The 27,908-nt window shown below is 45.3% G+C and overlaps 1 protein-coding gene and 1 pseudogene across 2 annotated transcripts in view, besides 1 other annotated feature; both read right to left on the bottom strand.

Annotated features, from left to right (window-relative positions):
• IQGAP1 (IQ motif containing GTPase activating protein 1) overlaps nucleotides 1-3,434 on the bottom strand; it is a 113,998-nt gene extending 110,564 nt beyond the window's left edge. For both annotated transcript variants that reach the window (NM_003870.4, XM_047433204.1), the window contains exons 1-2: nucleotides 3,280-3,434; nucleotides 803-902 (exon numbers count right to left, since the gene is read on the bottom strand). In NM_003870.4, coding sequence (NP_003861.1) covers nucleotides 803-902; nucleotides 3,280-3,334 — 155 coding nt within the window. In that variant the 5' untranslated portion in view covers nucleotides 3,335-3,434. The remainder of the gene's footprint in view (nucleotides 1-802; nucleotides 903-3,279) is intronic.
• Nucleotides 2,931-3,710: a silencer, noted in NCBI's record as "silent region_6819". NCBI's record gives its function as "represses an Ori minimal core promoter by ATAC-STARR-seq in GM12878 lymphoblastoid cells {active_cell/tissue: GM12878}" and the evidence as "EXISTENCE:reporter gene assay evidence [ECO:0000049][PMID:35858748]".
• Nucleotides 5,613-5,862, bottom strand: NDUFA3P4 (NADH:ubiquinone oxidoreductase subunit A3 pseudogene 4; annotated as a pseudogene).

Raw genomic sequence — 27,908 nt, 5'->3', positions numbered from 1 at the left:
ACAAAGAATGCAGAGGATGCTGACTCTGAATATTGCCAAACAGATGGACCTACACCAACAGCACCACGCTTCTAAGCCTCCCAAACCAAGCAGCCACTCCGCAGGTCATAGGAGGAGGAGACTCAATTCATATATAAATCAAAATTCATGAAGCATAAGTGAAACATTAAAGCCAATAACTTCAAATCCTAAAAATGCTATTTCCACCCCACAGTTGGTAACGCCCAAAACATGCACAATAAGCATAAGACTGAACAATAGAAACCTGGAAAACCGTTCAGTACACTTAAATGCCCATCACAGTGATTCATGATAAACTCTCATCAAGGCTACTTATTGCCATAAATAAATACCCTACCTATACTTATTCCCTCAACCACCAGCTTCCCAGTTACATCTATAACATACTCAAATAAATCTTTTCTTTTTTTTCCCCCCACCAAAAACAGGAGTTTTGTCACCCAGGCTAGAGCACAGTGGTGAGAGCACGGCTCACTGCTGCCTCGACCTCCCGGACTCAAGTGATCCTCCCTCCTCAGGCTCCCGAGTAGCTAGGACTACTGGCATGCACCACCATGCCTGGCTAATTTTTAAAATTTTTTTGTAGAGATGGGGTGTCACTATGTTGCCCAATCTGGTCTCAAACAGCTGGGTTCAAGTGATTCCCCCCCACCTCGGCCTCCCAACGTGTTGGGATTACAGGCATGGACCACTGTGTTCAGCCTCAAAGCAATCTTTATTTGTATTCACACTATTATCAGTTCCCTTCTCTTAATCTTCTCTCCAGCCAGCCAATCTTTACCTCTTCGCTTCTTCCAAATGACAAAGGTACTCATAAGCCACGTTCTGACGTCTCCTTTCATCCATCTCCTCTGCAGTAAGTCTTTCATTATCCAGGACAGCTACAACATAAAAGAAAGAATGTAAACACCAGGATCTGTAGCCTTCCTGAGTGATAAAAGATTGCCACAGAATCAATTTCCTGCCACTCACCTAGAAAGTCAGGATAACTAATGAGTGTGTAGCCAGCCAGGTGTACTACAATGACTTTCTTAAAAAAAGAACTATGTGGTTTCAACTATAATCATCTTGACCTTTTTAAAAATGTATGATAATATAAATATGTACTAAGTTTCAGTGTAATCTTGAAAAATACTGTCTTGAGATTTTGGCACAAATCTGTCCCTATCTGCCAGAACTCCTTCTAAATACAGATCTGATAATATTGTTTCCCTCTTTTATTAATGACCAAAGCCAGCAGTTATTGAGACATAAGTGGCAGTAATTGTACGAAGCATTTTACACGCATTCTCTCATTGAAACCCCACAACAATCCTGTGATTATCACTCCTATTTTACAGACGAAGAAACTGAGGCTGGGTGAACTCAGCCCCATGGCAAATAAGTGACAGGGCCTGAATCCAAACCTGGAGAGTCTGTCTCCAAAGCCTGAGCTTAACCTTGAAGCAATCTGCTTCCTTCATGGGCACCAGGTGTGGAATAAATTCCTAACTCCTTGGGAAGGCATTCAAGGCCTTTCCCAGTCTGGTCCCAACTATTTTTGGAAACTCTCCTCTTCCCTTCCTCCCACCACTGTGCAGTCTACATCACTCAGTTCCCAACACAGTATCCCTCTACTTTCAATACCTTTGTTTATGCTCTTCCCTCAGGTCCTGTCTCTTGTTCCACATGCCCTATCAAACTTTTTTTTTTTTTTTTTTGAGACAGGGTCTTGTTCTGTCACTCCGGCTCGAGTGCAGTGGCACAATCATGGCTTACTGCAGCCTCGACTTTCTGGGCTCAAATGATCCTCCTACCTCAGCCCCAAGCAGCTGGGACCACAGGCATGGGCCACCACGCCTGGCTAATTTTTTTTTTTTTTTTTAAGAGATGGAGTCTCACTGTGCTGCCCAGGCTGGTCTCAAACTCAAGGCCTCAAACTATCCTCTCACCTCGGACTCCCAAAGTGCTGGGATTACACGCAGGAGTCACTATGCCTGGCCACCTGTCAAACTTTCTACACAGCATTCTTCAAGGCTCTGTTCAAATGTCACCTTCAGGCCAGGTGCAGTGGCTCACACTTTGGGAGGTCGAGGCGTGGGGATCATTTGAGATCAGGAGTTTGAGACCAGCCTGACCAACACAGTGAAACCCTGTCTCTACTAAAAATACAAAAATTAGCCAGTGTGGTGGCCGACGCCTGTACTCGGGAGACTGCAGGAGAATCGCTTGAACCTGGGAGGTGGAGTTTGCAGTGAGCTGAGATTGCACCACTGAACTCCAGGCTGGGCGACCAGAGCAAGACCCCCTGTCTCCAAAAAAAAAAAAAAAAAAGTCACCTCCCGTGCTCATACTGTCTTCCCCAGGCCCCTTCTCCTTACCTACATTACTCTGTATGGCTAGTAAGTTCAGCATCTTTTATCATTATTGCACCTTATAATCATTAGCTTGCACACCTGACTCTCTGATTAAAACGCTCTTTGGAGACAGGGCCTGATCTTACTCATCTTTAATTTCACAAACGTGGCACAATACCTCACGTATAACTGTTGATGCGTGAAATGTTGATCCTTTAAAAAAGAACATTATTCCCACAATATAAAATAAAACCGAAAACCTCAAAATCCCAAAGGGTCCTCCTTTAGCCAATCCTGCCTGCAGTTCAATGACGTCCAGGGCCGACAACAGAAAATGAGGAAGTCAGAGGATTTTCTGCTTCTTTTTTTTTTCTTTATTACTATTTTACTTTTGAAATCTTGAGGAGGGAACTAAGCCCGAGAAAACTGAAGTGACTTGCCCAGGACGGCACCTCGTAGCTAGCCTGGGACCGGACAGGTCTGGACCCTGGTCTATCCCTTGGGTCTACCCCGCAGGCAACACTAGGGCAGCGCCTTTCCACGAAACGGGCAGAGCCCGCGTACCCAGACCCCCAATCCCCGGGACACGCCCTGCGCGGTCATCCTGCCACCTCACTCTAGGCCGTCTTCCCCAATCTCGGCCGAGCCTGGGCGGCGAGAGGCGCTGGGTGGGGCTCCCCCTACCGCGGCCCCAGCTAAGGCGGGAGGCCTCGGGGGTCCTCTCCGCCGCCTCGGACCCCGAGGGGGCGCGAACCAGGGGCCTCCCCGCCCGCCGCCCGCCGCCCCACCGGGACGGCTCTTCCGGGTCCGAGCTGCCGGCAGCCGCCCTGCCCCACCCGCCCGGCCGAGCCCCCAGGAAAATCGCGCCTCGTCTGCAATTAGCCCAGCCCGAAGCCCCCGCGCCGCGGAGCCCCGCACTCACAGCCATAGTGCGGCCGGGCCACGCCCAGCCCGTCAACCTCGTCTGCGGCGGACATGGCGGACGAGCCCGAGTCTCTGCTGAGGAAGCCGTGAAACCTTGGAGGCGCGGACGGCGGTAGCTACAGCTCCTGCCAAGTGCGCGGGCTTGCCGGGGTCCCCGAGGCCCCGCCCCGTGCCGTCAGCCCCACCCCGCAGGCCCCGCCCCAGCGGCACCGCCCCAGCGACACCGCCCTGAGCGGCCGGAAAGAGGCGGGGCCAGAGTCACCGTGCCCCGCCCCTAACTCCGCCCCCTCAGCCCGGCCCCGCCCTGCATCCCGCTATGGTCTCCGTAGGCGGAAGGAAGAAGGTAGAGCCCATCCTCCAATCGGGCTCACGCTGAGCTTGCCCTGCCGGGAATGCCCGCCCAGGTTTATAGCCCCGCCCCCAAGGCCACTGCCCTATCCGCAACTCTAACCGAAAGGCTGCCGGTGTCTGCTGCCTGAAATCAAAATAGTGGGTCATCTCCCTTCTCTTGCCGGCCCAGCTAACCTCTGCACCAATATTTGGAGAAGACACCCTTTGAGGTGACCCAGGTTGTCTTGTTGGACACAAGCAGGCCCCAAACTGCCATGAAAGCCCTCCAACCCCACTCTCCGCAGTTTGGCAACCTGGCCTCAGTCCTCTTAGATTCGGCAGCAGTCACCAGATTACCCAGGTACCCAGGTATTTGAGATGCGGATGCTAAAGCCGAACTCTGTCCAAATTCCCTACCTTTGGATCCCTTGACATTGTTCTTTGCAAGTTCTTTTTAAAATAACTCTTTTCCCGTATCAGGGATGCCTCTGCCCCCTGCACCTTGTGGCTTGCCCTTCAGATATTGGTATTCAACGGTATTCTGTCCGCAGCCCTCTTCTGTTTATTCTTTTTTCTTTTCTTTCTTTCTTTTTTTTTATTTTCTTTTTTTTTTGAGACGGAGTCTCGCTCTGTCGCCCAGGCTGGAGTGCAGTGGCGCGATCCGGGCTCACTGCAAGCTCCGCCTCCCGGGTTCGCGCCATTCTCCTGCCTCAGCCTCCCGAGTAGCTGAGTCTACAGGCACCCGCCACCGCGCCCGGCTAAGTTTTTGTATTTTTAGTAGAGACGGGGTTTCACCGTGTTAGCCAGGATGGTCTCGATCTCCTGACCTCGTGATCCACCCGCCTCGGCCTCCCACAGTGCTGGGATTACAGGCGTGAGCCACCGCGCCCGGCATTTTTTTTTTTTTTTTTTTTTTGAGACGGAGTTTTGCTCAGTCGTTCAGGCTGGAGTGCAGTGGCGCGATCTCGGCTCACTGCAACCTCCGCCTCCCGGGTTCAAGCGACTCTCCCGCCTCAGCCTCCCAAGTAGCTGGGATTATAGGTGCCCGCCACCACGCCCAACTACTTTTTTTGTATTTTTAGTAGAGGCAGGGTTTCACCATGTTGATCAGGCTGGTCTCGAACTCCTGACCTCAGGTAATCCACCCGCTTCTGCTTCCCAAAGTGCTGAGATTACAGGTGTGAGCCACCGCGCCCGGCCCTCTTCCGTTTATTCTTTGCCTACTCAGTAATCTTTTCTACACTCGCCTATAACTGCTGAGGACCCCTCGATATGTATCACCAGACCAGATCGTCTGGAAGTCCCTCAGTATTTTCAGCTAATGAACACTTTCACCTGTGTATAGGGCAGACACTTCAAATCCCACGTGTCAAATACTGACCCTGCTCCTGCTATATTCTCTATTCACAGAAGTACTCAATTCCCAGTGGGAACACCCCAGGCTCCTTGCCTCGCACCCTACATCCAATCTGTGTTTATTTCTGAGATGTCTACTTTTGTCTCCATCCCTGTTGTGATTACACTGTAGTCGCCCTTCTGCCAACTAGATCCTCACAGTTATCAGGGTGTTCTCTCTAAAGTGCAAATGCAATTGTGTTTCTCTTTTTAAATTTTTTTTTCTATTCCTCCCTTCAAGATAATGGGCCAAGTTCAGCATGATTTAGCATGCCAAATCATAGCCTGACTCCAGATGTTTTGCTCCAGCTATTTTCAATGTATTCACTCTTCCTTCAGACTATTAAAGATACTTGAAAACCTGTAAGAACAAAACACCCCTGTAGAAAAGTGGGCAAGGGTTTCATTTATTAAGCCTACAAAGTAAAAAGTTATTTCATTCTTAAGCTTTTAAGTTCACTTTACAAATTGTATTATTCTATTTATAAGTCTAGCACATTTTACCAAACACTTTTCAGAAACTGAATGATTTATTTATTTCGGAGGCGGGGGGGTCACATTTTTATTGGGGGCCACAGGGGACATGGTCTTCTCCATGTCAATGGAAGTGCTTGCAGTTTCTTCAACCACTCCATGCTTGGGCCTTGGGGGTGGCTGGGCATGTCCAGCATGTTCCCATCATCTCGGAGGGGCACTGGGTTGTTGTGGGGCGTGGCCTAGTTGATCCTGGTGGAGTACATGGTATAGGGGCAGACTGGGGTCAGATTTATAGCTAGGCCCCCGATGGTGAGGAACAGGACCAGCACCCGCTCCTTAGGCCAGGCATTCTTGAGAAAGGCAGCCGCAATGGCAACGAGGACATAGAGCATTCTGAAATTTCCTGAAAATTTTTTTTTAAGTCTCACTCAGTTAATTCAACATCTTCAAATATTTAAAATTATGCCTACTAGGGCAGGCACAGTGGCTCACACCTGTAATCCGAGCACTTTGGGAGGTCAAGGTGGGTGGATCACCTTAGGTCAGGAGTTCGAGAGCAGCCTGGCCAACATGGTGAAACCCCCGTCTCTACTAAAATACAAAAAAATTAGCTTAGTATGGTGACACACGCCTGTAGTCCCAGCTACTCGGGAGGCTAAGGCAGGAGAATCACTTGAACCCAGGAGGCAGAGGTTGCAGTGAGCCGAGATTGTGCTCCTGCAATCCAGCCTGGTTGACGGAGCGAGACTGTCTTTTAAAAAATAATAATAATTGCCGGGCACGGTGGCTCACGCCTGTAATCCTAGCACTTTCGGAGGCCGAGGTGGGCGAATCACGAGGTCAGGATATTGAGACCATCCAGGCTAACACGGTGAAACCCCAGCTCTATTAAAAACACAAAAAAAAAAAAAATTAGCCGGGCATGGTGGCGGGCACCTGTATTCCAGCTACTCGGGAGGCTGAGGCAGGAGAATGGCGTGAACCCTGGAGGCGGAGCTTGCAGTGAGCCAAGATCATGCCTCTGCACTCTAGCCTAGGCAATAGAGCGAGACTCCATCTCAAAAAAATAAATAAATAAAAATAAAAAATAATAATAAAGAATAAATTGTGCCTATTATATTGTCTATATTAGATTTCCTATTACATTTTCTTTTTTTTTTTCTTTTGAGATGGAGTTTCACTCTTGTCACCCAGGCTGGAGTGCAATGGTGCAATCTCAGCTCACTGCAACCTCCGCCTCCCGGGTTCAAGGGATTCTTCTGCCTCAGCCTCCCAAGTGGCTGGAATTACAGGCACCCGCCACCACACCTGGCTAATTTTATATATATATATATTTTTTTATTAGAGATGGGGTTTCACTATATTGGCCAGGCTGGTCTCAAACTCCTGACCTTGTGATCCACTGGCCTCGGCCTCCCAAAGTGCTAAGATTACAGGCATGAGCCACCGCACCTGGCCTAGATTTTCTTTTTAGTTCATTCAATCGTATAAAACTTTTTCAAAACTTTTTTTTTTTTTTGAGACGGAGTCTCACTCTGTCGCACAGGCTGGAGTGTAATGGCACAATCTTGGCTCATTGCAACCTCTGCCTCCTGGGCTCAAGCGATTCTCCTGCCTCAGCCTCCTGAGTAGCTGGGATTACAGGCACGCACCACCGCGCCCAGCTAATTTTTGTATTTTTAGTAGAGACGGGATTTCACCATGTTGCCCAGGCTGGTCTTGAACTCCTGACCTCAGGTGATCCACCCACCTCTGCCTCCCAAACTGCTTGGATTACAGGCGTGAACCACTGTGCCCGGCCTAGATTTTCTTTTTAATTCATTCAATTGTTTAAAACTTTTTCAAAACTTAGTAATTCCTATAAATAAACATACAAGCATAACAAAGCTAACATTCTCTTAGATGGCCTGATTCCATGTGTAAACTTAGTAAGCTTTCAACTCAAAAACCTAAGTCTAAAACTAACTCAATTACACATTTAAAATGATTTACAAAAAAGCTGTCATTCAAGTCGGCCAAATTTTCTTAAACATTGCGAATACATAAAATGTGAAATATTTCTTCTTCTTCTTCTTTTTTTTTTTTTTTTTTTGAGACAGAGTTTCACTCTGTCACCCAGGCTGGAGTGCAGTGGCGTGATTTCGGCTCACTGCAACCTCAGCCTCCCAAGTTCAAGTGATTATCCTGCCTCAGCCTCCTGAGTAGCTGGGCTTACAGGCGCACACGACCACACCCGGCTAATTTTTGTATTTTTACTGGAGGTGAGGTTTTGCCATGTTGGCCAGGCTGGTCTCGAACTCTTGACCTCAAGTGATCTGCCCACCTTGGCCTCCCAATGTGCTGGGGTTATAGGCATGAGCCACCATGCCCAGCCGAAATATTTCTTCTTAACTCCAACATATTAATCCAATTGTTCATTCCATAAAGGCTTTCTTTACTTAATTACAAAGTTTGTCTGAGGTGAAAGCCACAGAGATGTTAAGTTACCAACTGCACTGGTACCTTACTATACTAAGTGTTGCACATTTATTTTCTCAGCTGATCCTTGTAATAATCCCATTATGTCCATTTTACACTTGGGAAAATGGAGAACTGGGTTACTTACCTGAAGCCACACAGCAAGAGGCAGAGCTGGAACTCAAACCCAGGCCTGTCTAATGACAAAGCCCAATTCCTAGTCAATAAACTCAAGATTCAGAGAAATAGACATTAAGATAATAACATGCTGGCCAGGCACAACGGCTCACACCTATACCCCCCAGCACTTTGGGAAGCAGAGGAGAGAGGATTGCTTGAGGCCAGGAGTTCAAGACCAGCCTGGGCAAAATGAAAAACCCCGTCTCTACAGAAAATACAAAAAATTAGCCCAGCGTGGTGGCATGCTACCCAAAAGGCTGAGGTGGGAGGATCGCTTGAGCCTGGGAGTTGAGGCTGCAGTGAGCTGTGATCCCGCCACTGTGCTCCTGCCCAGGTAGACAGAGTGAGACCCATCACCAAAAAAAAAAAAAATAGAAAAGATAACATGCCACATATCACTTCTTGCCTATCATATGTAGCAACATTTTGGTTTGTCTTTTTAATTGATATTATTGGCAAGGGGGTGAAAAAGCAACCACTCTTATGCAATGTTAGTAGGCAATAAATTAATATAGTCTTTCTAAAGACCAGCTTATCATTATGCATCTATTCTTCAACCAAAAAACTTCACTTCTTGGAATGTATCATAAGGATATCGTGCTTTTATTAAATGTGCAAAAGTTATCCATGAAGATGCTCCTTGGAAATTACTCAAATGTCCATCAGTAGGTGTTTAAATCAGTGATGGCAGCTATACACAATAGAATGCCATATAGCCATGAACAGTGATGATCTGTGGTCTGGTCAGGCTTGACTGGCTACAGGAAACAGACATGCACAGTTTTACTTCTAGAGGAAAAAAGGCTGGAAGGGAGGCCTTTCTTATACAGACCTATATGGACTGGAACTGCACCAAAAACAAAACTACACTAAACAAAAAAAAACAGGACTAATGAAAGCTTGAAGTCATGGTTTCATTCTCTGGGCATCTCTGCTTTTCCACAGGCTGGCTCTACTCTCCACTCTTTGCTAACCAGCTTACTCCATTTAATTTTTTCTGTTCCCTCACAACTCTTGTTTCTGCTTGCCTTGCCATGGCTTTGACTGAAGGTCATGGTATCCTTACATCATCAGCTCCATTGAGGATCATCTCAATTGCCTAACTCCATAACCCATAGAGTGGCATATGATTGACCCAGCTCAGCTTTCCACCCTGTGGGTAAATCTCTGACCACCCACAGGCAGGCTGCCCTTAGATTGGATGCTGATCCTTTACTTCAATCAACTATGATCAGGAGATACAGATAATTAAGCATAGAGAACTATGAGCTGGGCATAATTTCCTTCAGTGGGAGGCTGGGCAGGCAAAAAATGTACAGGCTGGCAGTACAATATTTTAATATTGTGGTTAAGTTAATATATCAAATTATGACTAATAAATATGATACCATTTTGTTTTAAATGTAGCTAGATAGATAGATACATTGATGGATATGTGCATATGAATAGATAAAGCCTTGAAGTATATACACCAATATATTAACAGTGGCTTCTCCAGGCAGTGCTATTACACTGGATTTGTGTGGGGTTTGCTTGCTTGCTTGTCTGTATTTAAAATGAGCTGCTGGAAATACTATTTTGTCAGCAAATATAAATATGAATAAAATTAGTAAATATGAAATGAATAAACGGCAAAATAATGAGGTAAATGGTCATTTTGGGAGTCAAAATTGGTTAATGACCACAAAGAATTTACAAGCCAGGAGGAGTCAAGCAATATTAACAGGATATCTTGAGATAAGCACCATAATAGAAGTTTCCCTTGCTTGGAATACCTTTTAGCCTATTATCTGCCTGGGAAACTCCTACTGAACCTCCCAGACCCAATTCAAATGTCACCTACTCCCCAGGCAAAATTAATCACTTCCTCATTTATTATATTTCCCAGTAGTACTTTTAGAAACCAGGTATCTTCAGAAATAAGTCTTACTGTCTAGTAAGTACAACATTTTCAAGAAATAAGTCCCAATTTTTTTTATATTTAAATGCCTCTGAAATCAGGATAGGTCTTACAATCAGTGTTAAGAGAAACTAGCCAGCTACCAGGAGAAAAGTAGATGGAGAAGTAACACAATTGTTGACATAGTTTGGATATTGGTCCCCATCCAAATCTCATGTTGAACTATAATCCCCAGTGTTGGAGATGGGGCCTGGTGGGAGGTGATTGGATCATGGGGGCGGTTTTCTCTTGAATGGTTTAGCACCATTCCCTTGCTGCTGTTCTTGTGATAGGGAGTGAGTTTTCATGAGATCTGGTCATTTAAGAGTGTGTGGCACTCTGTCTCTCACTCTTGATTTCACCATGTGATGCGCCTCCTCCCCATTCACCTTCCACCATGATTGGAAGCTTCCTGAGGCCTCCCCAGAAGCAGATGCCACTATGCTTCCTGTACAGTCTTCAGAACCGTGAGCCAATTAAATTTCTTTTCTTATAAATTACCCAGTCTCAGCCAGGCACAGTGGCTCACACCTATAATCCCAGCACTTTGGGAGGCAGAGGTGGGTGGATCACTTGAGGTCAGGAGTTCAAGACCAGCCTGATCAACACAATGAAACCCCATCTCTACTAAAAAAAGAAAAAAAAATAGCAAGGTGTGATGGTGTGTGCCTATAATCCCAGCTACTCCGGAGGCTGAGGCAGGAGGATCACTTGAACCCAGGAAGTGGAAGTTGCAGTGAGCCAAGATTGCACCACTGCACTCCAGCCTGGGTAACAGAGCAAGACTCTGTCTCAGAAAAAGGAAAAGGAATTACCCAGTCTCAGGTATTTCTTTCTAGCAATGCAAAAATGGACCAACACAGAAAATTGGTACCAAGGAGTAGGGCACTGCCATAAAGATACCTGAAAATGTGGAACCGACTTTGCAACTGGGTAACAAGTATAGGTTGGAAGAGTTTGGAGGGCTCAGAAGAAGATAGGAAGGTGAGGGAAAGTTTGGAACTTCTTAGAGACTGGTTAAATAGTTTCAACCAAAATGCTGATAGTGATATGGACAATGAAGGCCAGGCTGACAAGGTCTCAGATGGAAGTGAGAAACTTCTTGAGAACTAAAACAAAGGTCACATTTGTTGTGTCTTAGCAAAGAGCTTGGCTGTGTTCTGTCCACGCCCTAGGGATCTGTGGAACTTTTAACTAAAGGGTGATGATCTAAGTGTCTGACAGAAGAATTTTTTTTTTTTTTTTTTGAGACTGAGTCTCGCTCTGTCACCCAGGCTGGAGTGCAGTGGTGCATCTTGGCTCACTGCAACCTCTGCCTCCCGGGTTCAAGCAATTCTCATGCCTCAGCCTCCTGAGTAGCAGGGATTACAGGCACCCACCACCATGCCCAGCTAATTTTTGTATTTTTAATAGAGATGAGATTTCACCATGTTGACCAGGCTGGTCTCGAACTCCTGACCTCAGGTGATCCGCCCACCTCAGCCTCCCAAAGTGCTGGGATTACAGGCATAAGCCACCACACCTGGCCAGCAGAAGAAATTTCTCAGCAGCAAAGCATTGAAGTTGTGGCATGGCTGCTTCTGACAGCCTAACTTAAATGTGGGAGCAAAGAAATGACTTAAAGTTGGAATTTATATTTAAACAGGAAGCACAGCATAAAAGTTTGAAAAATTTGCAGCCTGGCTATGTGGCAAAGAAAGAAAAAGCTTTTTCAGGAGAGGAATTCAAGCAGGCTGTGGAGAGCCACCATTTGCTAGACAAATTTGCTTGACTAAAAAGGACCCAAGAACTAATTCCAAAGACAATGGGAAAAAGACCTCAAAGGCATTTTAGAGACCTTCATGGCAGCCTCTCCCATTATATGCCCAGTGGCCTAGGAGGGAAGAATGGTTTCCTGGACCAAGCCCAGGGCCCTGCTGCCCTGCACAGCCTTGGGACACTGCTTCCCACATCCAGGCTGCTCCACCTCTACCCACAGCTCAAAGGGGCCCAAGTACAGCTTGGGCTGCAGTTCCAGATGGTGGAAGCCAAAAGCCTTGGTGGCTTCCATGTAGTGTTAAGCCTGCGGTGTACAGAGCACAAGACTTGAGGTTTGCCACCCTCCACCTTGATTTCAGAGGATGTATGGACAAGTCTGGGTGTCCAGGCAGAAGACTGCTGCAGGGGTGGAGCCTTCACAGAGAACCTCTACTAGGTCAATGCCAAGGGGAATTGTAAGGTTGGCACACTGATATGGTTTGGCTGTGTCCCCACACAAATCTCACCTTGATTTGTAACAATCTCCACGTGTCAAAGGTGGGGCCAGGTGGAGATAATTAAATCGTGGCAGTGGTTTCCCTCATACTATTCTAGTGGTAGTGAATAAGTTCCCTGAGATCTGATGGTTTTATAAATGGGAGTTGCACTGCACAAGCTCTCTTGTCTGCTGCCATATAAGATTTGACTTTGCCCCTCATTTGCCTTCTGCCATGGTTGTGAGCCCCACCCCACGGTGGAACTGTGAGTCAATTAAACCCCTTTCCTTTATAAATTACCCAGTCTCGGGTATGTCTTTATTAGCAGTGTGAGAACAGATTAATACACATTCCCCACACAGAGTTCCCAATGGGGCACACTGCCTAGTGGAGCTGTGAGAAGAGGGCCACCATCCTCCAGATCCAAGAATGGTAGATCCAACAGCAGCTTGCACCCTGTGCCTGGCAAAGCCACAGGCACTCAACTCGAGCCCATGAGAGCAGTCATGGGTGATGAATCCTGCAAAGCCACAGGGACAGAGCTGCTCCATGCCTTGGGAGCCCACCCACTGCACCGGTATGCCCAGCATATGGGACATGGAGTCAAAGATTATGTTAGAGCTTTAAGATCTAATGACTGCCCTTCCAGCTTTCAAACTTGCATGGGGCCTGTAGCACCTTTCTTGTTGGCTGATTTCTCCATTCTGAAATGGGAATGTTTATCCAATGCTTGTACTATAACTGTCAGGCCTCACAGGATAGCTTTTCAGGAAATTGTAACCATGCTGTGTAGGCAGAATTCTGAGATGACTGCCCAAGATTCCCAATCCTTGGCTATTCAATCAAACACTAATCTAGGCACTATTTTGAAGGGATTTTGCAGATGCAATTAAGGCACTAAACAGTTGATCTTAAGATGGGGAAATTATCCTGGTCATCACATGAGCCATTTATAAGTAGAGAGATTCCTTTAGCTGGCAAAAGAAGTCAGAGACTCAAAGCATGGGATGGTTCAATGGGCCATTGCTGGTATTGAATATGGAGGGGTCCACATGGAAAGGACTTGAGAGCAGCCTCGAGAAGCTAAGAGTGGCCCCTGACTGATAGTCAGCAAGGAAACAGGGACCTCAGACCTATAACTGCAAGGAACTTGATTCTACCTATAGCCTAAATGAGCTTGGAAGCAGATTCTCCTCACAGTCTCAAGATAAGTCCTTAATCTAGTGGATATTTTAATCTTGACCTTGTAAGACTCTGAGCAAAGAACCCAGTCAAGCTTGCCTGTACTTCAATAGAAAACTAATACATACACTTAAGGAAACTTGAGTGTGTGGGGAGGGGGTTGGGGTGGCTTATAAGTAATGTTACCAAACATGCTAATGGTAAACTTTTGTATAAAAAGGCCTATGAGCTAGCTGGATACCCTGCTTCTCTCTGATAGGACTAACTCCATATAGTTCATGAGTCTTTTGAGCAGATGTAGTTCGTAATAAATCCGATACTCCATTTGGTCTATGTAATTACTGATCTTCTTTGTTTCTCTATACTTTGAACACCTTGGGCAAAGAGATAGAACACCTTGTTCTAGAAATAGAACAAAGGGTCAGTAAACTTCAGAATACCATCAAGTGGCTGTCTGTCAAGTACCAGTTTTCATCTTTGTGAAACTTCAAGTGTTACCTATCACTGCTTAACTCCTTAACCAACTCATTTGAGAGAAACCTATTTCATCTTGTCCTAAAGATATTCAGATATTCCGGATCTTGTGTTTAAGCACAGCTCCTGCCAGATATTCCAACTTCAGCCATTTCTTCAACTCTTGGTTTTTCAGATGGAGGAAAAGTTTTGAACTACCTGTTGGTAGTTGCAGCTATTTACCAACTGCTTACCATGTTCCAGAAAATGCTAGGTGCTTTATTTATATTGTCTCATTTAATCTTCACAATAACCCTATGAGGAAATATAATTATCCTCATTTTACAAATGAGAAAACAGGCACAAAGAGGTTAGATATTTTGCTTAAGGCCATAAGATTCAGAGTTAGGATCAAGCTTCCATCTCTCTGATTCTAAAATCTCTGTCAAATCATCATTCAACACCGTGTCCTAGTTTATGGACAGCATATCAATGAGCAGGTGTTCATTCACTTCTTAAATATGCCTAATTGCCTCTGAAAACCTTTCAACAAACATTTGTGAACACCCATATCCTAGTCTAGGAACAATATATAAAAACAGAGACCCGGAAGTTGTGGGAGGAAGCCAGGAAGTCAGCCCAGAATGGAGTTGGGGCATTGGTTTCCGGGCTGGGGTTAGAATAGGCCACAAGGTTCTACTGCAGTCTCAAGGCCTAAGACAAAGGACAAATCTAAAGATTCATCAAGAGACAGAAATCGCTCATAGGAATCATGAGCTCATTGGAGAGTCAGACCAAAGTATGGGGAAAGAGCGGTAAACGAGGCAGGGAACACCAGACCCCATCACAGGGTCAGAACCTGAGACAAGCCTGCATGGCAGGGTTCCCCACGGCAAACCCCTGAAACATCTACAGGGATGACAATGGGTTACTAGTAACAACAGCTAACTCATAATGAGTGCCCCTTAGGTCCAGTTGTAAGTATTTGATCTCATTTGACCTTCACAACAATCCTATGAGGTAGGAACTACTAGAATTTTCAATTTAAGGATAAGGAAACTGAAATCAGAAAGGTTAACAATGTTCCAAAAATTACACAACTAGTTAGTGACATACTCAGTATTCAAACTGCATTGGACCCAAAGCCCACATATGTGAACGCTATTCTCCACTAATGCACATGAGGACCTAGAGGGCTGAGTTGAAAGATTTGTGAGGCCACATCCACCAAAGAATGTGATGGACATAGACCTGACAAAGCACTCTCAAGAAGCTTTCAGACATCAAGATAGAGATCTAGGAGCACAGATAAGAGAACAGTTGATGGGTCGGGTGCGGTGGCTCAGGCCTGTAATCCTAACACTTTGGGAGGCTGAGGCGGGCAGATCATGAGGTCAAGAGATGGAGACCATCCTCGTTAACACGGTGAAACCCGTCTCTATTAAAAATACACAAATTAGCTGCGCCAGGTAGCAGGTGCCTGTAGTCCCAGCTACTCGGGAGGCTGAGGCGGGAGAATGGCGTGAACCCAGGAGGCGGAGGTTGCAGTGAGCCGAGATCACGCCACTGCACTCCAGCCTGAACGACAGAGCGAGACTCCGTCTCAAAAAAAAAAAAAAAAAAAGACTTTGCAGGGAAGACCTATGAAAAGGGTGAGAAAGGGCACAAGTTGCAGTAACAGTGTAAACAAAGCCAGAAAAATTGCAAAGGTGTGTGCGTGTGTGATCATGCCCTGATTCTTGTATAGTTAATTTCACCCCAGGCTTCTCAAACAGCACAGCCACATGATGTTTCAAAAAGTCCAAGTGGAACCTCTTCGGAAAGATGCCCCACCATTGGCAGAGGCTGTGACCTTTTTCCTCAGGTACCAGGGGTTGCTACATGGGGAATGGGTGGACACTGGGCTGTAAATACTGCGTCTGGAATTTATTCCTTTTGGTGGATGCTTGGTCTCGCTGACTTCAAGAATGAAACCACGGACCTTCACGGTGAGCGTTACAGCTCTTAAAGATGGTGTGTCCGGAGTTTGTTCCTTCAGATGTTCAGATGTGTCCGGAGTTTCTTCCTTCCAGTGGGTTCGTGGTCTCACTGACTTCAGGAGTGAAGCCGCACACCTTCGCAGTGAGTGTTACAGCTCTTAAAGGTGGCTCATCTGGAGTTGTTTGTTCCTCCCGGTGGGTTTGTGGTCTTGCTGACTTCAGGAATGCAGCCGCAGACCCTCGCATTGAGTGTTACAGCTCATGAAGGTAGTGCGGACCCAGAGTGAGCAGCAGCAAGATTTACTGTGAAGAGCGAAAGAACAAAGCTTCCACAGCATGGAAGGGCACCCGAGTGGGTTGCCTGCTGCTGGCTTCGCTGGCCAGCTTTTATTGCCTTATTTGGCCCCACCCACATCCTGCTGATTAGTCCATTTTACAGAGTGCTGACTGGTGCGTTTACAGTCCTTTAGCTAGACACAGAGTGCTGATTGGTGCGTTTTTACAGTGTGCTGATTGGTGCATTTACAATACTTTAGCTAGACAAAGAGTGCTGATTGGTGCGTTTTTAATCCTCTAGCTAGACAGAAAAGTTTTCCAAGTCCCCACCCAACCTAGAAGCCCAGCTGGCTTCACCTCTCAATACCTTCTTTCTTTATCACTCCTCATTTTCTTTACGACTGATATTTGGGTGGTAGAAAGCTCACATCCTTTATGGAAAGTCACCTTCCTATAAGCTCCTCTGGAAGTAGAGTACAGAAAAATCTAACTAGGCCTCTCATGAGATTACAAGCAATGAGTGACATTTCTACTACAACTTATAATGCCAGTGCAGGGCAAGGTAGAAACTGCAAGACTTCAGTCACTATTCAGTTATGTAAAGACTAACACGTGGGCACAGTGGCTCACGCCTGTAATCCTAGCACTTTGGGAGGCCATGGCAGGAAGATTGCTTGAGCCCAGCAGTTGGATACCAGCCTGTGCAACATGGTGAGACACCATCTCTACAAAAAATAAAAAAAATTAGCTGGGCGTAGTGGTGCATGCCTGTGGCCCCAGCTACTGGGGAGGCTGAGGTGGGAAGATCACTTGAGCTGGGGAGGTCGAGGCTGCAGGGAGCTGTGATTGCACCACTGCGTTCCAGCCTGGGAGACAGAGCAAGAACTTGTCTCAAAAGAAAAAAAAAAAAAGAGCTAGACAAGGTGGCTCACTCCTGTAATCTCAGCACTTTGAGAGGCCGAGGCAGGTGGAACCCCTCAGGTCAGGAGGTCCAAACCAGTGTAGCCAACATGGTGAAATTCTGTCTCTACTAAAAATACAAAAATTAGCCAGGCATGGTGGCATGCATCTGTAGTCCCAGCTATTTGGGAAGCTGAGGCAGGAGAATTGCTTGAACCCGGGAGGCGGAGCTTGCAGCGAGCCAAGATCACACCACTGCACTCCAGCCTGGGCAACAGAGCAAGACTCTGTCTCAAAAAAATTTTAAAAAAATTAAAAAAAAAGACTAACACAGGAAAAAACGGGAGAGACATATAGCTATGGAGCAATGTTCCTCCCTAAGACTCCAGTCAGTTCATTGACACATGTCCAGTTTGAATTTTTTTTTTTTTTTAAAAGAAAGGCCAGGTTGTACCACCTTCCTTACAATACAGAAACAAGCTCTCTCAACCACAAGCATCAATGACATTATCCAGTTTCGTGGAATCACTGGCAATGCCCCCATGTATCAGAATGTCTTCTGTGGCTGAATTTACATGTGAAGGTTAATTAAACAAAGCTTTATTTCAGTATCATGGCTTGTTTGCATTTACTCATTCATGTACCAACTGGCATAAGTGATACCTCCTCCAGGGAGCCTTCCTTGACTCTCAAGATAGCCCTTCTCTGGCTGACATATACTTCTTGTATTGAAACTATGTGTCTGGGCCGGGCATGGTGGCTCACACCTGTAATCCCAGCACTTTGGGAGGCCGAGGCAGGCGGATCACCTGAGTTCAGGAGTTTGAGACCAGCCTGGCCAACATGGCAAAAGCCTGTCTCTACTAAAAATACAAAAATTAGGTGGGTGTGGTGGCGCATTACTGTAATCCCAGCTACTGGGGAGTCAGAGGCAGGAGAATCGCTTGAACCCAGGAGGTGGAGGTTGTGGTGAGCTGAGATCACCTCACTGCATTCCGGCCTGAAGGACAGAGTGAGACTCTGTCTCAAAAAAAAAAAAAAAAAGAAAAAAGAAAGAAAGAAACTGTGTGTCTGTATGTCTGTTTCCCACAACCACTCTGTGCTCCTCAAGAGAACTGTCATGTTTATACCTGTATCCCCAGCACCCTCAACTAGGCCTGGATATAAGAGGTAATGAGTGTTTACTGAATTAAATTGAATAAATTAGAGAGATACAATGTGGGGTTCGACGTGTGTCCATATATTCTGTTTGTAACATGCCTCTGACTCTGGAGAGGGAAGACAGGCTATGCTGGCACCTAGACTCAGGCTTAGGTGCTAACATTTAGATGCTTCAGGTTTCCTTCAGTTGAGCCCAAGTCACCTGGATAAGGAAATTTATGTATTTTTAGTACATAAGTGACAGATTCAGGGCAAACTCAGTAATAAAAGCAAGCTTCTGGCTTCAAGATCCCAAGAGATTTTCTCTTAAAGAGTTTGGGCTGGACGCAGTGGCTCAAGCCTGTAATCCCAGCACTTTGGGAGGCCGAGGCGGGCAGATCACGAGGTCAGGAGTTCAAAACCAGCCTGGCCAAAATGGTGAAACCCCACCTCTACTAAAAATACAAAAATTAGACCGGGTGTGGTGGCTCAGACCGGGCGCGGTGGCTCAGACCGGGCGCGGTGGCTCACGCCTGTAATCCCAGCACTTTGGGAGGCCGAGGAGGGCGGATCATCTGAGGTCAGGAGTTCGAGACCAGCCTGGCCAACATGGTGAAACCCCGTCTCTTCTAAAAATACAAAAATTAGCCGGGCATGGTGGCAGTTGCCTATAATCCCAGCTACTCGGGAGGCTGAGGCAGGAGAATTGCCTGAATACAGGAGGCGGAGGTTGCAGTGAGCCAAGATCATGCCACTGCATACCAGCCTGGGCAACAGAGCAAGACTCCATCTCAAAAAAAAAAAAAAAAGAATTTTATAGGCAACTAAAATGGGTGGGACCAACCTGCCATCCCAGCTACAGAGAGAAAAGCCAAACATTAGTGGACTGGGACCTTACTGTGGATGAAGAATCTAGTATCTGGGGCGGAAAGCAAGGTCCTCCCAGGAGAAGAGCAAGAAAGGAAGGTTGATGCTAGAGCCCGTGGAAGGGTCTTAAATTCTACATTAAACGAGATTCTACTTTCGTCTGTAGACAATAGGAAATGATTTAAGATTTTATAAGCAGGGGAGGAGTAGGATTTGATTCAACAAAGATTTATGAAATGTTTACTTTTGTACTAGTATGAACAAGGGCATAAAGTTGAGTTAAACATAGTCACTGCCCTTTAGACAAGTACACAAGTGACTGTAATGCAAGATGAAATAAGAAGTGAGTGAAACCCAAGATGTAGAAAGAAAGGATTATAGAAGTCCAAAGGAAATCCTATCTGCTTGATAGAGGAGATCTGGAAATACTTTATGGAGAGGGAGGTGTTTTAATGGGGCCTTGAAGAATAGGTACTTTATAAACAAAATTCCCTGAAGAGGCAACATGAACAACAATAAACTTGTAAAAGTTGTGTAACTGCTGGGCACGGTGGCACACGCCTGTAATCCCAGTACTTTGGGAGGCCCAGGTGGGAGGATCACCTGAGGTCGGGAGTTCGAGACCAGTCTGCCCAACATGGCGAAACCCCATCTCGACTAAATACAAAAAATTAGCCGGGTATGGTGGCACATGCCTGTAATCCTAGCTACTCGGGAGACTGAGGCAGGAGAATTGCTTGAACCCAGGAGGTGGAGGTTGCGGTGAGACAAGATCGTGCCACTGCATGCCAGCCTGGGAGACAGACTGAGACTCTGTCTAAAAAAAAAAAAAAAAAGTTGGGTAACTTCCCCACTAATCAGGGAGATACTTTTTAACTTAATTTAATTTATTTATTTGAAACAGGATCTGGCTCTGTCATCCAGGCTGGAGTGCAGTGGCATGATCATAGCTCACTGCAGCCTTGACCTCCAGTGCTCAGGTGATCCTCCCACCTCAGCCTCCTGAGTAGCTGGAACTACAGACATCAGCCACCACGCCAGATAATTTTTATTTTTTTTTTTAGAGATGGGGTCTCACTATGCTGTCCAGGCTGGTCTTGAACTCCTGAGCTCAAGAAATCCTCCTGCCTCAGCCTCCCAAAATGTTGGGATTACAGGTGTGACCTACTATGCCCAGCTAAGACGCATATTAACACCACAATGATATATCATTTCATGCTCAAAAACATTTTATAAATAAAAATTTTACATATATAGATATATATGTATATATACATATATTTGCTTTTTTCTATATATATACATATATACATATATGTATAATACATGTATATTTATATAATACATATGCTTCCAATTAACTACTATAAATTTGTATTAGTAAATCCTTTGATTTTCATTAGTTTGTATGAGTATCATTATTGCTTAAGCAATATATTTAGTTTTGCCTGTTTTTTACCTTTACTGTATTTTTTTTTTTCCCCGAGATGGAGTCTCACTCTGTCGCCCAGGCTGGAGTGAGTGGCACAATCTTGGCTCACGGCAACCTCCACCTCCCAGGTTCAGGGGATTTTTCTGCTTCAGCCTCCTGAATAGCTGGGACTACACGCATGAGCCACCACGCCTGGCTAATTTTTGTATTTTTAGTAGAGACATGGTTTCACCATGTTGGTCAAGCTGATCTCAAACTCCTGACCTCGTGATCTGCCCGCCTCGGCCTCCCAAAGTGCTGGGATTACAGGCGTGAGCCACCGCACCTTCCCTGATCTTTACTGTATTTTTGCTCTTACTAAATATATATGTATGTATATATAGAGAGACAGGAAATAAAGCAAGTATATATAAAGGCATAGGAGTGAGAAATGCCAGACTCTTTTCCTAAGCTGTATAGTGGGTACGTGGTTGCTCTTTACACTAATTTTTGTATATTTTAATATTGATTTTTTTAAAAAAAGAGTAGATAGTAGTTCAGCAGGAGGAATTGAAGCAAGAAGCTATTCTAGAGAGAAGAAATTGTACTGGAGAGAGCAGGCTGTGTTCAGGAAACAAAGTGTCATCATTCTGCTTGGCAGAATAAAATACATTTTTTCTTTGTCATAAGAGCAGCAACTTGCATTTGTGCACTTTATAAAATACTTTCATGTGCTCCCACCAGTTAATTATCAACTTGAAGAACAAGTATTCCATTTGATAGATGAGGAAACAGGCTCAGAAAGAATAAGCGATATATTTGTGAATATTTTTGGCAGAGAAAAAGCTTAAAAGGATATACAACAAACGGTAGTGGTTATCTCTGGGAAGTGGAATTTACTCTGTTTGCTTAATTGTATTTTCTGATATTTCTATAAATGAACCTGAAGTAAAAAATAATAAAGCAGAGAGGGGGAAGGAAGACAACAGGAAAACAATGACTTCCTCAAAATCAAATGTTCATGTTTTCAGATTCCCAATCCTGCTCTGAGTTACTCTAATGAAAACAACAGAAGAAATACAAGAAAGATTCTAACATAGAAAAAAATGTTCAACCTCACTGGTAAGCAAAGAAATGCAAATTAAGACAATATGTAAGAATCATGTCTATTAAATTAGCAAAACTTTTTTAAAGATGAGGGTGTGATGAGACTAGTAGCCATTTACTGTTCGGAACACTGTAAATTGATACAATCACTTTAAAAATGATTCCACAGCAGCCAGGCGTGGTGGCTCACACCTGTAATCCTAGCCCTTTGGGAGGCCGAAGTGGGCGGATCACTTGTGGTCAGGAGTTTGAAACCAGCTTGGCCATCATGGTGAAACCCCATCTCTACTAAAAATACAAAAAATTAGCTGGGCATGGTGGTGCGCACCTGTAATCCCAGCTACTCGAGAGGCTGAGGCAGAAGAATTGCTTGAACCTGGGAGGCGGAGGTTGCAGTGAGCCGAGATCGTGCCACTGCACTCCAGCTTGAGTGATAGAGCAAGACCTGTCTCAAAAAAAAAAAAAAAAAAAAAAAAAAGATTCTGCAGCAAGTAAGGGAGGTGTAAAATTGTTCTCACCCTGTGAAAATAATCTAAAATGTGGAAACTTTTTTTCTGGGAAACAACAAAATGTTCACATGAGCATCTTTAATGCAGCAGGGCATCCCCCATTCAGACACCAGGTCCAAGATTGGCTGTTTATAGAAAGATGGCCTATAATCTTCTGGACATTTATCTGCTCTAATTTATATACATAAAGGAGCAGAGGGTGTTTTGGGGTTGGTTGGTGGGGCGGGGGGTTTGCTGAAGGAAATATAAGAAAATGTGTGTTTGTGCGTGTGTGTGCATGTGTTTGAGTGGGAATGAAGGAACTGATCTAGTGTGTCTGTTCAGGGCCCAGGCACTCAGATTACTCTTTTTCCCCCTCAGTATAACTCAATGAGATTTGAGTGAAAAAGATCAATCTCTGGAGAAGTGTTCTGTTTTCTTATTTGCTTTGTTTTATTTTTCTTGTGAAATACATTGTAAATGAAAAGCATATAAGTAATGCATATTAACAATTTAAATAATTATTTTACAAAGAAAACCTGTGTACTCGGCAGCCAACTTAAGAAACAGAAACTTTGATGGCAGAGGTGGGCGGATTACTTAAGACCAGGAGTTCGAGACCAGCCTGGCCAACATGGTGAAACTCCATCTCTACTAAAATTACAAAAATTAGCTGGGTGTGGTGGTGCATGCTTGTAATCCCAGCTACTTGGGAGGCTGAGGCAGAAGAACCACTTGAACCCAGGAGGCTGAGCTTGCAGTGATCTGAGATCCTGCCACTGCACTCCTGCCTTGGCAACAGAATGAGACACTGTCTCAAAACAAAACAAAAAAAGAAATAGAAACTTTGCATCTTTCTCTCCCATTCCAATTAATTACTATACTGAAGTTTGTATTAGTAAATCCTTTGATTTTCATTAGTTTGTGTATCCTTATTGCTTAAGCAATATATTGTTTAGTTTTGCCTCTTTTTTACCTTTACTGTATTTTTACTCTTACTAAATATATATTTCTATGTCTTGCTTTTTACACTCAATATTGTTTGAAGCTTGTCTGTGTTGATGCATGTAACTGTAGTCTGCCCATTTTCCTTGATGGATAGCATTCCGATATGTAAATTACCAACTTGCTCGGAGGTGCAGCCATTAAATCCTCATTTTGAGCAATCACCCCAAGTAAGACTGATGCAGGTGGACTTTTGCTCACACTTCGGGAATTACTGTCTTAGAGGACACAGTCCGAGCTCTTACCTCCCAGTTTCCCAAGTCTCTACATCAGCCTTTTAATTTTAGTAGAACTGTTTGTTTTCCTTTTCCAAAAATATTTTCTCATCATTCTTCGCCTAGATAATTCTTATGCTTTAAGTCTCTCCATTAAGCTATAAACTCCTCCAAACATTGTCATTATTATCATTGTTGTCACTGACATTTATGGAGCAGATACAGTGTACCAGGTAGTTAGTACAAAGAGTTTTACATGGATCATCTCATTAATGCTCGTCCAAACCCATGAAAAAGGTGCTGGGATTAGCATCATTTTACAGATAAGGAAGTAAGGGTCAGAGAGATTAAGTAACTTGCCCAAAGTTAAACAGCTCTGGAATGTGGATCTCTTTAACTATCTTACTTGTCTCTGAACCTCTAGGATCTAGGGTAGGACTTTGGTGTGTGGAAGGCACTTGATTAATGTCTGTTGAGCTGCACTGAAAGGAAAAGCCAAGGAGACCAGATGGAAAACAATCCGTTTAGTTCAGATGATGGCAGTGGGGATGGAAAAGAGGAGCTGGAAATAAGACTTGGCATGACAGACTATTACATAGCTGAATCTGGGGCGTGAGGTTAGGGCAGGGAATGAGGAAGGGACAAGGCATTTCCATTTTTTCACTTTGAGCACTTCTGTATTTTCTGGAAATGTTTACAACAAGCACGTGGTGCTTTAATAATTTTTTTTAAAGAAGAGAAAGTGTAGAGGCAGCAACTACATGACTAGGCACCAGCAAAATATAGAAAAAAAAGGACAAAAAGAAATCCAAGCTGACCAGCAGGCTTCTGGCAAGGCAATGTAGGAGAATGGGGAATTGAAGGCAGAAAGAGAAATGCCTGGGGGAATGCTTCCGGGGGAGATACTGACTGTAATTTGGAGAGTCTGCTTTTGGGAAGCAGCAGGTCATTCTGGGGAGGTCTCCACCAAGTAGCTAGACTTGTAGGTCTGAAATTCAGGAGAGAGGTTGAGCCAGACCCATGCTCTGAGAAATGATGGTTGAAGTCATAAGCTAAATGTGCGGAGCAAAAAAGAAAGAAGAAAGAAGACCTCAACCAAAGTGTTGACAGGGTCAGGCATATCTGAGTGGAAGAAGAAGAGGAGCCAGGCCAGGCGCGGTGGCTCATGCCTAGAATCCCAGCACTTTGGGAGGCCGAGGTGGGCAGATCACCTGAGGCAGGAGTTCAAGACCAGCCTGGTGAAACCCCCATCTCTACCAAAAGTACAAAAATTAGCTGGGCCTGTAGTCCCAGCTACTCTGGAGGCTGAGGCACCAGAATCCCTTGAACCTGGGAGGTGGAGGTTGCAGTGAGCTGGTGAGCCAAGATCCTGCCACTGCACTCCAGCCTGGGCAACAAAGCAAGACTTTGTCTCAAAAACAAAACAAAACAAAACAAAACAAAACAAAAAAATCCAGAGGAGCCAGGGAAGGTACTTGAAGAGGAGCAGCCAGAAATGTAGGAGAATCATCTCTCAACCTCATAGTCACCAATGGAAAAGATAATTTTTTTAAAAAGGCATATGGGCCTGGTGCAGTAGCTCACACCTGTAATCCCAGCGCTTTGGGAGGCCAAGGTGGGAGAGTTGCTTGAGGTCAGGAGTTCAAGACCAGCCTGGGCAACATAGGGGAACCCTGTCTCTAGCAAAGTTATTATTATTATTATTATTATTATTATTGGAGATGGAGTTTCGCTCTTGTCACCTGGGCTGGAGTGCAATGACACGATCTCAGCTCACTGCAACCTCCGCCTCCCAGGTTCAAGTGATTCTCCTGCCTCAGCCTCCCGAGTAGCTGGGATCACAGGCGCCCACGACCACGCCTGGCTAATTTTTGTACTTTTACTAGAGACGGGGTTTCACCATATTAGCCATGCTGGTCTCAAACTCCTGACCTCAGGTGATCCACTCGCCTGGACCTCCCAAAGTGCTGGGATTACAAGCATGAGCCACCACACCTGGCCTCTACCAAAAATTTTAAAAGGCCGGGCTTGGTGGCATGTGCCTGTAGTCCTAGCTGTTACTCAGGAGGCTGAGACAGGAGGATTGCTTGAGTCTGGGAGGTTGAGGCTGCAGTGAGCCATGATCGCACCACTGCTCTCCAGCCTCAGCAAAAGAATGAGACCCCATCTCTAAAAAATAATAAACATATGTAAATGGCATCAAACAGTAAAGAGTTGTTGAATCAGAAGAAGACTAACAAGAGGCCTTCAGATGTGGAAATTAAGTCTTTTTTTTTTTTTAAGAGACAAGTTCTAGCTCTGTCACGCAATCTGGAGTACGGTGGTATGATCACAGCTCACTGCAGCCTTGAACTCCTGGGCTCAGGCAATCCGCAATCCTCCCACCTCAGCCTCCCAAGTACTTGGGATGACAGGCGCACATCACCATGCCTGGCTAATTTGTTGAAACTATTTTTTGTAGAGACAGGGTCTGGCTATGGTGCCCAGGCTGGTCTTGAACCTCTGGGCTCAAGCAGTCCTCTGGCTTCGGCCTCCCAAAATGCTGGCATTACAGGTGTGAGCCACCACACTCAGCCCTAAAAGACCTTTGAGGGTCCAGTTGTAGAAGCATGCTAGGGTAAGTGGCCCTATTAAAAAGGCCTAGGCATGATAACCCTGAGAATATCTACATGTGAGTGGAAGTTTGACAAAAGGGGAAGAGAAGGAATGCGATGATAGGGTCTAGGAGGAATTATTTCGAGGTAAAAGAAGGGTTAGGGATCTTATCTTTTTGTTGTGGTGCCTGCCCTGGTGCTTGGTGATAACGACTCGCTGGAGACCTACTGCGTGCTGGGCACTGTGCTAAGCCCTTTACATCATGGATTGTCTCAAAGCCTTTAGTTTTTTTCTCCGTAATATGACCTACACACAGCGGCCAAATTGACCTTCTCAAGTGCGGATCGCGCCTCTCCTCTCCTATAAAACCACTAGCTACACCCTTTTCTCCAGAGAGTAAGATCCAAACCCTTTAGTTTGGCAGCTAAGAACCTTCTTGGTGTGACCTTCACTCACCTGTCCAGTTTTGTCTCACTCTGCTGCTTTTCCAGCACAATGAGATCCTTGCCCATGAGCATGCACTCATTAATTCATCCAGTAAACACATATTGAGCACCTACCATGTGCCAGGCACTGTTCTAAGTGCTGTGGAAAGAATGGAAACAAGAGAAATGACTCCCACCTTTCGTGGAGTTTACCAAAAACAAATCAATTAATAAGAAATTGCCAGACAGGTGTAAGGACTTTGATGAAAAAAGAGGATAATGTGATGGAGGGTGACTAATTTAGATGGGATAGTTAGGGAAAGTCTTCCTAAGGAGATAGGTTTAGGCTGAAACCTGGTTGACAAATAGGAGGCAACACAAAGGACTGGGCGAGGAACATTCTGGGCAGAGGGAACAGTTAGTACCAAGGGTCTAAAGAGCACACAACCTTGGCATGACCAAGGAGCAGAGAACTCAAGAGTGCTGAGGTGAGGCAAGGGAGAGGGAAGGGGATATCACAAGAGGATGGAGGGGGAGGGGACAAAACCACAAGGGCCTCTTAGGCCTGGGTAAGGATTTGGGTCTTCATTCTAAAAGCAATGGAAAGCTGCTGAGAAGTGATGTGATTCGATTTAGGATTTTAAAAGTTCACTCTGGTTTCTGTGAGTGAAACCAGTTTTTTCAGAGCAAAAATCATATCAGGAAGATCAGTTTGGAGGCTGCTACAGGAATTCAGGTAAGAGACTGGTCATTTGGTACTGAAGGGTGGCAGTGAAGATGGACAGATTTGACAGATAGGTTCGAGAGGAATCTGGGAGGTAAAATTAATGGGGCTTGGTGATGACCTCAATTTTGGAGTGAGAAAGAACGGATGTGTGGAGCATGTTCAAGCAGTGAATCATCTAGTCATGAGGTAGAAACAAAAGAAAACTATAGAAAGGGTTACCTCCACTCTCAGCAATAGCATTGAAATATTCCCTGCTCATGGCTGGCGGGGGAGTGGGGGGGGGTGGGCAGGAAGACAGGGAGGAGGGAGGGGATTGGCAGGGCCACAAAGCAAATCTCACATTGCCCTTCGAGAGCTCACATTTTACCATAGCCAAACAACATGAAAATCAAAGTGATAGGTGGCCAGGTGAGGTGGCTCTCGCCTGTAATCCCAGCACTTTGGGAGGCCAAGGCAGGTGGATCACCTGAGGTCAGGAGGTCAAGACCCGCCTGGCCAACATGGTGAAACCCCGTCTCTACTTAACATATAAAATTAGCTGGGCATGGTGACATGCATCTGTAATCCCAGCTACTCCGGAGGCTGAGGCAGGAGAATCGCTTGAACCTGGGAGGCAGAGGTTGCAGTGAGCCAAGATCATGCCATTGCACTCCAGCATGGGCAACAGAGCAAGACTTCACCTAAAAAAAACAAAAAACAAAAAAACCCTCACATCTTACAATAGCTGAACAACATGAAAAACAAACAAAATGATAGGTGGCCAGGCACGGTGGCTCACACCTGTAATCCCAGCACTTTGGGAGGCTGAGGCAGGCAGATCACCTGAGGTGAGGAGTTCGAGACTA

Source organism: Homo sapiens, chromosome 15 (genome assembly GCF_000001405.40).
Source record: "Homo sapiens chromosome 15, GRCh38.p14 Primary Assembly".
Classification (NCBI taxonomy): domain Eukaryota; kingdom Metazoa; phylum Chordata; class Mammalia; order Primates; family Hominidae; genus Homo; species Homo sapiens.
Note: the sequence above shows the minus strand (reverse complement) of the source record. Positions and strands in the feature narration are given on the sequence as shown.